The sequence below is a fragment of the Homo sapiens genome, chromosome 12 (assembly GCF_000001405.40).
Source record: "Homo sapiens chromosome 12, GRCh38.p14 Primary Assembly".
In the NCBI taxonomy this organism is placed as follows: domain Eukaryota; kingdom Metazoa; phylum Chordata; class Mammalia; order Primates; family Hominidae; genus Homo; species Homo sapiens.
Genome location: NC_000012.12, coordinates 91,742,385 through 91,755,227, shown reverse-complemented (window position 1 = coordinate 91,755,227; position 12,843 = coordinate 91,742,385).

Below are 12,843 nucleotides of genomic sequence, written 5' to 3'. Positions count from 1 at the left end.
AATTTGTTGACTCTTTTGTCATAGCACCGTTTAAAACACAAATTATATAGCTGTACAAAAATATTTTATTTATATCCCTATTGTATAAGCATTTCTCTGTTTTTAATTTTTTCATTTTTAAACTCTTTTGTTAAAAGCTAAAACACAAACATATGCATTGGCCCAGGCCTACACAGGGTCAGGATAATTAATGTCCCTGCCTTCTACCTCCACATCTTGTCCCACTGGAAGGTCTTCAGGGGCAATAACACACATAGAGTTGTCCTTTTGTATGATAACACTGCCTTCTTCTGGAATACCTCTTGAAGGACTCGCCTGAGGTTGTTTAAAAATAATTTTTTTAATAAGTAGGAGTATACTCTAAAATAATAAAATGTATAGGATAGTAAATACACAAACAGTAATATAGTTGTATACTATCATATCAAGCATTATGCACTGTACATAATTGTGTGTGCTGTACTTTTGTATAACTGGCAGCACAATTGGTTTTTTATGTCATCCTTACCACAAACACATGAATAATACATTGCACTATGATGGTACGATGACTACTATGTCACTAGGTCATAGAAATTTTTGAGCTCCATTATAATCTTATGAGACCATCATTGTATGTGTGGTTAATTATCAACAAAAACATTATGTGGCACATGAAGATAGTATTTTCTTTAAAAGCATGTAAAAATGTTTATTTACTAAAGGCTGATTTAGGCTAAGTGTGGGGCCTGAACTGTATAAATGTATAAAGTGAATCGTGGTCATCTTATTCCAGAGAAAAAGGAAGCTCTCAAACACTAATGAGGTCATGTCAAAAGCACAGAGGCTAACTTTAAAGGACTCCCATTAGCCAAAAATAAGACCATTTGACATTGAAAAATATTGTCTTGATCAATCAAGACATATTAAATACATAGACATTCGCGAGTCCATAATGATCCTCAACAAGTCCTTACTGTGGTGGTTGCTTGGCTATAACTCTTTACTGTAAAAGTTGATAAAGATAAAAAGCATTTATTTTAACTTTTCACTATCAATTTTATTTCCTCAGAGCTATTTAAGGATGGAAAGTTCTTTTTAGCAGAATTTTAGTTTATACATGCAGAAGAAAATATGTAATTGAAGAATTAATATTGTTAAAAATGCCCATATTACCAAAAGTGATCTCCAGCTTCAATGGAATCTCTATCAAAGTCTCAATGGTATTTTTTACAGAAATAGAAAAAGCAATCATAAAATTCATATGAAACCCCAAAAGAACCCAAATAGCCAAAGCAATTTTGAGCAAGAACAAAGCGAAGGCATCACACTTCCTGATTTCAAAATATATTGCAAAGCTACAGTAAACAAAACAGTACGGTATAGCGAGCTCAGAATAAACTCATGTATATACAGTCAATTGATTTTTATGTATATTACAGTCAATTGATTGAGGTTGCCTGAAACTTATGTTGTATGAAACTAATTGAAACTTATGTATATACAGTCAATTGATTTTTAACAAAGTTACCAAGAACATGCAATGAGGAAAGAATAGTCTCTTCCATAAATGGTATTGAGACAACTGGATACTCACAGACAACATAATGAAATTGAACTCTTATTTTATGCCATACACAAAAATCAATTCAAACTTTAAATGTAAAATCTGAAACCATAAAACTCTTAGAAGAAAACATAGGAATAAAGCTTCTTCATAATGGCTTTGGCAATGATTTCTTGGATATAACATCAAAAGCACAGGCAACAGAAACAAAAGTAGACAAATAAGATTACATCAGACTAAAAAGCTCCTGCACAGCAAATGAAACAGCCAAGAAAATGAAAATGAAACCTATGGGATGGGAGAAAATATTTGCAAAACATATATCTGGCTAAGGGTCAATATCCAAAATACACAAGAAACTTTAACAATTCAACAGCAAAAAAATGACTAAACTTATTAAAAATGGACAAAGGAACTGAATCAACATTTTTCCAAAGAAGACATATAAATGGTCAATAGGAATATGAAACAGAGCTCAGCATTAAACAAGTCAATAGCAAAAAATTAATAAACTAATTAAAAAATGGGAAAAGGAACTGAATTCACATTTTTCCAAAGAAGACATATAAATGGCCAATAGGAATATGAAAAGGAGCTCAATATCACTAATCAGGGAAATGTAAATCAAAACCACAATGAGATATCACCTCATGCCTGTTAGGATGGCTATTATTAAAGCACACACACACACACACACACACACACATGCACACACACACACACACACACATAAATGATAAAGATAACAAATGCTGGCCAGGATGTGAACGAAAGAGGAATTGGGATGGGTGCAGTGGCTCATGTCTATAATCTTGGCACTTTGGGAGGCTGAGGCAGGAGGATCACCTGCCTCAGAGAGATGCAAGGAGTTTGAAACCAGCCTTGGCAACAGAGAGACCCCATCTTTACAGAGAATACACAAATTAGCTGGGGTGGTGATGCACGCATCTGTAGTCCCAGCTACTCAGGAGACTGAGGTGGGAGGAAGGCTTGAGCCCTGGAGTTTGAGGCTGGGGTGACCTAAAATTGTGACCCTGCACTCCAGCCTGGGAGACAGAGTAAGATCCTATTTTTAAATTAAAAAAAAAAAAAGAAGAAGAAGAAAGAAAAAGCTAGAAAAAACTTTTACACGATTGGTTGAGAATATAAATTGATAGAGCCACTATGTTAAATTGTTTGAAAATTCCTCAAAAAATTAAAAAGAGAACTACCATGATGCAGAATCTTACTTCTAGGTATATATCCAAAGGAATTGAATTCAGGATCTCAGAGATAACTGTACCTCCATCCCAAATGCCACATTATTCACAGTAACCAAGACATAGAAGCAACCTAAATGTACTCTGATTGATGAACAGATAAAGAAAAATGTGATATATACATAAAATTGAATATTATTTAGCCTTAAAAAGGAAGGAAATCCTGCCATCTGCAACAACATGAATGAACTTTGAGAACATTATGCTACGGAAAATAAGCCAGACACAGGACAAATACAACTACATGGTATCACTTATATGATTAATATAGTCAAACTCATAGAAGCTGACAGTAGAATGCTGGTTGCCAAAAGATAGGGAGAGAATAAAATAGAGAAGAATTTTTCAAAGGCTATGAAACTTTAGTAATATAAGACATCTCAGTAGTGCAATGCATGAGTCCTAGAAATCTATTGCACAGCATAGGTGCCTACACTTAGCAGTACTGTATTTGTATACTACTTAAAAATTTGCTAAGAGGGTATATCTCATGATAATAGTGCTTAACATATAATCATAATAATTAATAAAGAGGGGGAGGAAACTTTTAGAGTTAATGAATATGTTTATGACATAGGTTGTCATGTAGGTCCCATGGATGCACATTTACCTCCAAACTTATCAAGCTGTATACATTAAACAAGTAAAGATTTTAGTATGACAATCATGCTTCAATAAAATGCATTTTTTTAACTGTTTGTATTTTTATTAAGTGGGGAAGGTAAAAATCCTTGAATAGACAATGATCATCAATGTCTGCTAAAGCCTATTGATGGGAAACATCATTATGGATGGATGGGGATGACAAAACTGGAAATTCTGACCAATTTTAACATTCATCAGATTGGAACAGCCAAATATTATTTACCTCTGGATAAGACAGATAAAATGGCAGATATGTATTATTATATAATAATAATCCAAAAAATCCCCTTAGGAATCAAATCAAGTCTCTAGCATTTTATAGGAAATATAGAGGATGAAAAATAAGTACTAACATGCCATGTGAAAACAATCAGCTGAATAAAGAAAGATGGCCATACTGCCCAAGGTAATTTATAGATTCAATGCCATCCCCATCAAGCTACCAAAGACTTTCTTCGCAGAATTGGAAAAAACTACTTTAAAGTTCATATGGAACCAAAAAAGAGCCCACATTGCTAAGTCAATCCTAATCCAAAAGAACAAAGCTGGAGTCATCACGCTACCTGACTTCAAACTATACTACAAGGCTACAGTAACCAAAACAGCATGGTACTCGTACCAAAACAGAGATATAGACCAACGGAACAGAACAGAGCCCTCAGAAACAATGCCACATATCTACAACAATCTGATCTTTGACAAATCTGAGAAAAACAAGCAATGGGGAAAGGATTCCCTATTTAATAAATGGTGCTGGGAAAACTGGCTAGCCATATGTAGAAAGCTGAAACTGGATCCCTTCCTTACACCTTATACAAAAATCAATTCAAGATGGATTAAAGATTTAAATTTTAGACCTAAAACCATAAAAACCCTAGAAGAAAACCTAGGCAATACCATTCAGGACATAGGCTTGGGCAAGGACTTCATGACTTAAACACCAAAAGCAATGGCAACAAAAGCCAAAATTGACAAATGGGATCTAATTAAACTAAAGAGCTTCTGCACAGCAACAAAAACTACCATCAGAGTGAACAGGCAACCTACAGAATGGGAGAAAATTTTCGCAATCTACTCATCTGACAAAGGGCTAATAACCAGAATCTACAATGAACCCAAACAAATTTACAAGAAAAAAACAAACAACCCCATCAAAAAGTGGGCGAAGGATATGAACAGACACTTCTCAAAAGAAGACATTTATGCAGCCAAAAGACACATGAAAAAATGCTCATCATCACTGGCCATCAGAGAAATGCAAATCAAAACCACAATGAGATACCATCTCATACCAGTTAGAATGGCGATCATTAAAAAGTCAGGAAACAACAGGTGCTGGAGAGGATATGGAGAAATAGGAACACTTTTACACTGTTGGTGGGACTGTAAACTAGTTCAACCAATTGTGGAAGTCAGTGTGGTGATTCCTCAGGGATCTAGAACTAGAAATACCATTTGACCCAGCCACCCCATTACTGGGTATATACACAAAGGATTATAAACCATGCTGCTATAAAGACACATGCACAAGTATGTTTATTGCAGCACTATTCACAATAGCAAAGACTTGGAACCAACCCAAATGTCCAACAATGATGACTGGATTAAGAAAATGTGGCACATATACACCATGGAATACTATGCAGCCATAAAAAATGATGAGTTCATGTCCTTTGTAGGGACATGGATGAAGCTGGAAACCATCATTCTCAGCAAACTATCACAAGGACAAAAAACCAAACACCGCATGTTCTCACTCATAGGTGGGAATTGAACAATGAGAACACATGGACAGAGGAAGGGGAACATCACACACTGGGGCCTGTTGTGGAGGGGGGGAGGGGGAAGGGATAGCATTAGGAGATATACCTAATGTTAAATGACAAGTTAATGGGTGCAGCACACCAACATGACACATGTATATATATGTAACAAACCTGCACATTGTGCACATGTACCCTAAAACTTAAAGTATAATAATAAAAAAAGAATATGAGACACTATATGATAATGACCCATTCCTTTAACGAATAAATGGCATGGAATATGATGGTGAGGTGTTGGAGAGAGAGAGAGAGAGGGAGGGAGAGAGAGAGAGACTGAAGAGACAGCTGACAAATGTAATGCAATAAGAGGGCGTGAAGTGCATCTTGATTCAAACAAATTAATTATAAAAGACTGTTGTGGATGCAATCAGAGAAGTTTAAATGTGGACTGAATATAAGATGACATTAAGGAATGGTTAACTTTTAAGGTTGATAATCACATTGTGGTTATATAAAGACTATCTTTTCCTGTACCAATATATTTATAGATGGAAAGGTACGATTGGGGCATTTAAGTTAAACTATTTCAACCAAAATAAGAAAATAAACAAAAAAGAGTTGCTTAAACTAAGAATGATGGGCAAAAATATTGATAATGATTAAAATAGGATATTATGATACTGTTCTCTCTTCCCTTCAAATTTTCATAATTTTTTATAAGAAACTGTACTTTTGAGCTTCTGAGCCGTTCTGGTTGATATGTTAGTGAAATACAGTTCTGAATTAATTCTGGTTACTGGCTGGTGTTTAAACAATAAGTATAATCTTTTACTAGATAATACATTCTCATGGCTCAAAACTCAAAATAATATTTTTAAAACGTGTACATTAAGAAGTATCACATTTACTCCTGCTTCCATTCACTCAATTCTTCCTGTCCTCCAAAGGTAGTAGATTTTTTCATTTCTGTTTTCCATTTTTTTAAGCAAATAGAAATAAGCATACATATATTATATATATTTTATCTCTTTTACACAAAAGAAAGCATAAAACATTTAGTCTTCTGCCTCTTTCTTTTTTTAACTTAAATGTATGCTGGAAACATTTCCATAACAATTAATGGAGATATTCCATCTTTTTATGGCTACATAGTATTCCATTGTGAGCATATAATGGAATACATATTTGTTCTTTTCTTTCCATCATCTTTTGCCATCTCAATAATTTCATATGCACGGAAGAATATATACAAGATAAATTCACAGTGTAAAAGCAATTATGATTTCCATAGATATTGCCAATGTCAATCCATGTGGATTATATCGTTCATTTTACATTCACACCTGCAATATATGAGACTGCCTGCTTTTTCACAAACTCATCAACAAAAATGCAGCCAGACTTTTGTATTGTTTACAATATGGTAGGTAAGAAATAAGATCTCTGTATAATTTCAGTTTGCACATTTCTAATTATAATAATGGTTGAATATCCTTTTGTATGTTTAGAAACCATTGTAGTTATTTTTAAATTAATTTTTGCTTCGTACCTTTTACATATTTTTCTTTTAGATTATTGATCTTTCCTCTCTTTTTAGGAACTCTTTGTATATTAAAGATATTAACCTTATGTTAAAAGTTGCAAATTTTTTTCCATTTTGTTATTTATTTTTGTCTTTGCATTGGTATTTTTGTGATGCAGGTTTTCATATCCTTACATATTTAAATTTATTATATTTTCTGTTAAGATTTCTGATTTTTAAATTACAGTTAAATAAATTTTTCTTCCTTATTATAAAGAAGTATATAAAGGAGTCTATATTTTATTCTAGTATTTCTGATTTTACTTCTGATATTTCATTTTTATATGTTTAGACATTATTCTGGTGTTTGATTAAAGGTGTAGATCCAATTTTGTCTTTTCTTCCAGATGGCTTCTCAATTGTCACAGTACCATGTATTTAAAAGTCTACTTTTATTCTTCTACTTAAAAATGCTACTTTTATCACATGCTAAATTTCCATATTTGGATCTATTTCTGAACATTATATTCTGTTCTACTGTTTGAATATAAAAGCTTTTTTTTTTTTTCTTTTTTTGAGACAGAGTCTCGCTCTGTCACCCAGGCTGGAGTGCAATGGCGTGATCTCTGCTCACTGCAACCTCAGCCTCCAGGGTTCTAGTGATTCTCCCACCTCAACCTCCCTAGTAGCTGGGATTACAGGCACCTGCCACCATGCCTGGCAAATTTTTTTTGTATAGTGGAGACATGGTTTCACCATGTTGGCCAGGTTGGTCTTGAACTCCTGACCTCAGCTGATCCACCCACCTTGGCCTCCCAAAGTGCTGGGATTATAGGTGTGAGCCATTACACCCGGCCATAAAATCTTTTAATGTAATTCAGTACCTATTTGGGCTAGTACTAATAATTTTTCTATTAATTTTTCATATTTTTGAAAATATTTTTTACTTTTTATTTTTCCACATGAATTTTAGAATCAGCTTCCTTAGTTCCAAAGCAATACAAATAACAACCCCTTCAGAAAAAAAAAATAGTGTACTACATTGGGCAAGTATAATTTTGTGTCTTTAAGAATTATTTTAAAATTTTTTTCATAAAGGATTTGAATACTATTTATTAGGCATTTGTAACACTTATTAATGCTGCAGAACACACTACCTGAACTTAGAGATATGAAATATGTATTTTATTATGCTCTTGCATTCTGTGGGTCAACAATGTAGAAAGGGAACACTGATGACTGTCTCTTCTAGATGATGTCAGCTGAAAAGACTTGAAGACTGCAGATGAATCAAAGGCAGGAGTGTCTCCATGGCTGGGGAAAGAAATCATCTGAAGTCATCTTCATTCACATGTTTAGCTGTTGATACTGCCTGTTGTCAGGACTCTCAGCTGGGGCTGTCCCATGGAAACTTATGTATGGCCTCTCCATGTAGCCTGGGTTGCCTCACAGCATGACGGCCTTGGACATCTTACCTGGTGCTCAGGGCTCCAAAGGCAAGTAGTCCAAAAGAACCAGGTGAAAGCTGTATCACCTTTTGTAACCTAGCTTCAGAATCAGATAGCATCACTTCTACCATACCCAGCGTCACCCAGCAACAAGAGGAGGAACATAGATATCACTTCTTGACAGGAGGGATGTATGTCACTGAGATTATGTGAGTAAAAGATATTGCTGCAGTCATTTTTAGAAAATTTAATGTGTCACAATATTTTTCTTGGATTTTTTTTTTGTTGTTGCTTTTTACGAATTGGGTCCTTTCTTTCATTTTATATCCTAACTGTTTATGATTTAATGAACACTACTGATTCCTGTATATTACATCTGCTGATGCAAATACATATAACCTTATTGAGTTCTGCCACTTCCCTTTTTTTGTATTTTATTCTTTTGGGTATAGTTCTATTACGAGATAATCAACAAAGAGTTTTACATTTTCCACTCCAACTTTGTTGACTGTTCTACTCTTTCATAATTGTGTGGGCTGTGAGCCTCAGTATAATGTTAAATGTAATGGTGACCGTAGACATCCTCACTTTTTTCCTGACTGTAGCATAAATGCCTGTGCTTTTACATTAATTAAAATAGTGCAACTGAAAAGAAGACATACATCTTATAGCTTTTTAGATATGGTATTTGATCTCTGGAGAATCATTATAATATTTTCATTTTGAATAACAATCTCTGCTTATCAAATATGTTTTTAAAAATAATTTTTGGTCTTATATTTCATCTGCTCTGATATTAAGGTCACCAACCCTGATTCTGTTTTATGGCTTACACTTTCTTTCCTTAAACATCATATTGGTGTTGGCTCCACTTTCTTCTGGTGTTAAAAGGTAGAAAAAGTCTGATACTAAACTCTTTTTCAAAGAGTACTAATGTTCTTGCCAATTCACTTAGTGAATTATTTATTCATCTTTGGAGACTAATAATCTCATCAGATGTTGACTGTGGCTGATTTTACTTGGTAGTAAATATGTAGAGTCAATGTATAGATTCATATCTACATATCGATTCACATCTTCATTTGGTTCCATTTTTAAATGATATTTTGAAACATTTATCCTCTCCCATTGTTTTACCTTTTTAGGACCTTCAATTACCTTTCCTTTACCTATTTTCTAAATCTATTATTTTATTTTTATCTCTATCCCCTTATATGTTTCTTTTTCTTCTTTCTTACTTCATCAAAGCCATTACTATGGTTTTCATGCCATCATTCATCCCTCTCCTCGTAAGCCTTGGAATTTCTTTTTCATTGTTGAATAATTTAGTAATTTTCTTCTCATGAGTTTTGCCAATTCCTTTTCTACCTTTTTCAGTTTTCTGGCCATCACCTCTTACTGTGTGACTATGTTATCTTGAACTCTTGTGTTTTTGCCTTGTGATTTTTCTTCATAGCTGGAAATAATTCACTCTTATTTTTTAAAAAATATTGGAACATTAGATTACAATTTTAGCTGCTGTGTAAGATAATTTTAGTGTGTATTCCTTTCCTGTTGGAAAATTTATCTATAATTTTCCAACATTTTTCACGTTTTATCCTATTTTTGCATTTTTTTAATTTACCTTTTTCTTTGTTTGTCCTCATATTTAGATGAGAGCAGAATATCCCTGGATGTGAGTATAAGGCAGAGGAGGGTGGGTAAGGATGACCTCTCTGCCTCACAGCTCAAGCTGGAATGGTATGGGCAGTGGTATGGTGGGAAACTGACCAATTTACAACAGCCAGCCAGCCATTATATTGTAAAGAAAACATTAAAATATACAGGAGCGAGTCTCTGTTGAAAATCAGCCCTGGGTTCAAAGTGTTTCCTTATGGTTGTGGTATTTCCATGTCGGCACATTTCCTTTGCTTTTCAGAACCTAACTTGGTTCTGGAGGGCTCCATCTTCCAGACTTGTGTCTCCTGCTGACTCTGTTTGCTGCTTCTACCAAGGGACAGAGCGAATGCGAACCATTCACTTTTATTTAGAAAGTGGATTTTTACTGATGCTTGCAAAATATCATCTCTGAGCTTTTCTGGGTAATTTTTAAGTCTTCCTTCTACCCCTAGTGCTTATTCCTATTTATCTCTCCACACGGTTCACAGCAGTTTGCCCTCAGTGTGGAGCCTTCACATATATGAGAGTGGATATTTTGCTTGGTGTCTGGGACCTGCATCTGCAGTGTCAACACTCCCCCGTCTTTCTGCCACTGTATCATGGTTGCATTAGGGACTTCCTGTCTGGCTCTGCTGGTCTTAGTTGCTTTTGGCAGCATGTATACATAATTTAAAATTTGTGGGTTTTCTTTGTTTTCTATTTTAACTAAAAAGGGAGTTTGTGATATTTTTGTTATTTTCCTTTTAATTATCTCACTGGTCTATTTCCAGGGGAAGCAGAAAGATTCAGAATTTAGCTGCCACTGTGCTCTTCCAGAATCGTAATTAAAATAATTGTTTCTGTTGTAGTAAAATATGAAGTATATTCCCACTTAAGTAGAATGGACTTTTCATATGAAAGTGTAAGATTATTTAAAAGATGTCTCCCTGAGCAAAACATATTCTCCACTTGGGAATTTTCAAGACATGTTCTGGACAAAATTGAGAAGGGGAAGTTTGATAAACTAGTTAGATAAGCAAATCTATGCAGAGTCTGTCATTCTCTGAGAAATGAAAACTGGGTAGAGAAAGAGAGTCAGATTTACATGTTACAAAAATGCTGTTCTTTATTTTAATCGACAGAATTGGATTAGACTCCAGCATCAGCATGCATTTCTCATTGTTTTCTTTCTATATTAACTACAGGAGACTCATTAGAATTTCATGGATGTAATTGTTTCTGGGTTACATCCTCAATTAATGACTATAATTGAAAGATGGGATAAAACTGGGATGACGTGACTGTAATTTAAGTGTAAGATGTCTGGGCCTATTTACAATGCATTTGTTAGTATTATTTTTTCCTACTGCGGAGGAGTATTTACGAGAGGCAGAAATAAATGCATTTCAAACAGCAATGTCTCAATCAAAACAATGAACATATTGTGCGCAGGATGTTGTTTTCCTGGGCTGTTTTGTGACTATGCAGCCCTCGGCATGATACATGTGCATATAAAGAGCTTGTGCTCAGATCTTCTGGGAGGGGAGAACATGCTCCAACAAAGGGGAGGTGGAAGAGAGGCTATCTCTGCCCTGTATGTGCTGCGTTATAACAAACATTCAAAATCCAGCAGCTCAGCCTGCACTTGTCAAGGATTCCCTAATCAGTTTTAGATTATGTCATGGGGAAAGAAAAAAGGAACTCCCCCAGTCCCTTAATTATGGCTCTCCTCTGCTTCGCTCTCATTTTATTCCTCCCCCCAACCAAAGTAGATATTAACCTTATTAGCTTTTTGAACAGTGCATCGCTGATTATCCGCACATGAGCCATGAGAGCAGCTGCAAGGGGCAGCTGAATAATTATCTGGAGGTAACTGGGTTTGATTCAGACTCTGGGAACAAAGTCCATAGACTGGAGCTCCTGGGTTGAGGGGTGTCTGTTATTGCTCAATCCAGGGTCAGAAGAGGACTGGGTAGCTCATTGTGTGTCTTTTACAATGGTAACGACTTTTCCTTTTCTCACGAGTCTTCTGAGTTAGAGGGAATGACAAAAACAGCCAAAGGATTAAAGGTTCAATAGCTGAGCTGGAAATACTAGGATATGTGGCTGGACTAAACCACCATGAAAAGCAAAAAGAAAGTGGGAGATGAACTAGGTAGGAATAGAGAGATAGGGAGGGACCACTGATTCAGAGGTGACTTAACAACGATAATAACTTGACAATTATATACCTTTTAAAATAACTCTCATACTGATACTGCCAGCTGAGGAGTACTTCCTAACATGGGACCTGTGCTTAAGAAACATAATGTGGATTATCAGGCCCCACCACTGACTACAGGAATCAAAATTTCCGGGTGTGAGGTCCAGGAAGCTGCATTTTTCCAAGCTCCTAGGTGATTCTGACAGATGTTGGAACTTAAGAATGACCTGAGTAGAGGCCGTGGAGAGTAGAATGAATGGAATGGCAGTGACAAACCAGAGACAAGCTGGGAGTAGGTGGATTGAAGTTGAATTCACCAGGAACATATTCTGTGCTTACCAATAAGGGGGCTGTGAATCAGAGGAGGTAAGTATCTTCCTGTAAGCTAAATATCTAGTAAGTTGAGTCAGTTGGAATAGAAATGTGCTAGAATTTGGATGGCAGGTTACAGGAAGTAGGCAACGTGGTTTGGGATCCAGGCCTTGATTTGGTTATATGTTGAGATAAGGACATCTTTCAGGAAAATGGTGTGGAAGGCAAAATATGTTTCATGTTCTTTAATCCGGTATTCTAAGCTTATCTTTTATTTGCCCCCTTCATGGATTTTTTTTCATACATCTCTGGTGCATATTAGCTGTAAAAATATATATCCAACCTTTTTGTGTTAAATGTATGTGTTTTTAAATGTAGCATGATTCTAACACATATCACAAAATTATAACTTTGATATGTTGAGTTTTTGTAGCACACATTGGCAAATATTCAACTAAAATTTCTTAAAACGTATGTCTGCATACTATTTACAATTATCTTGCC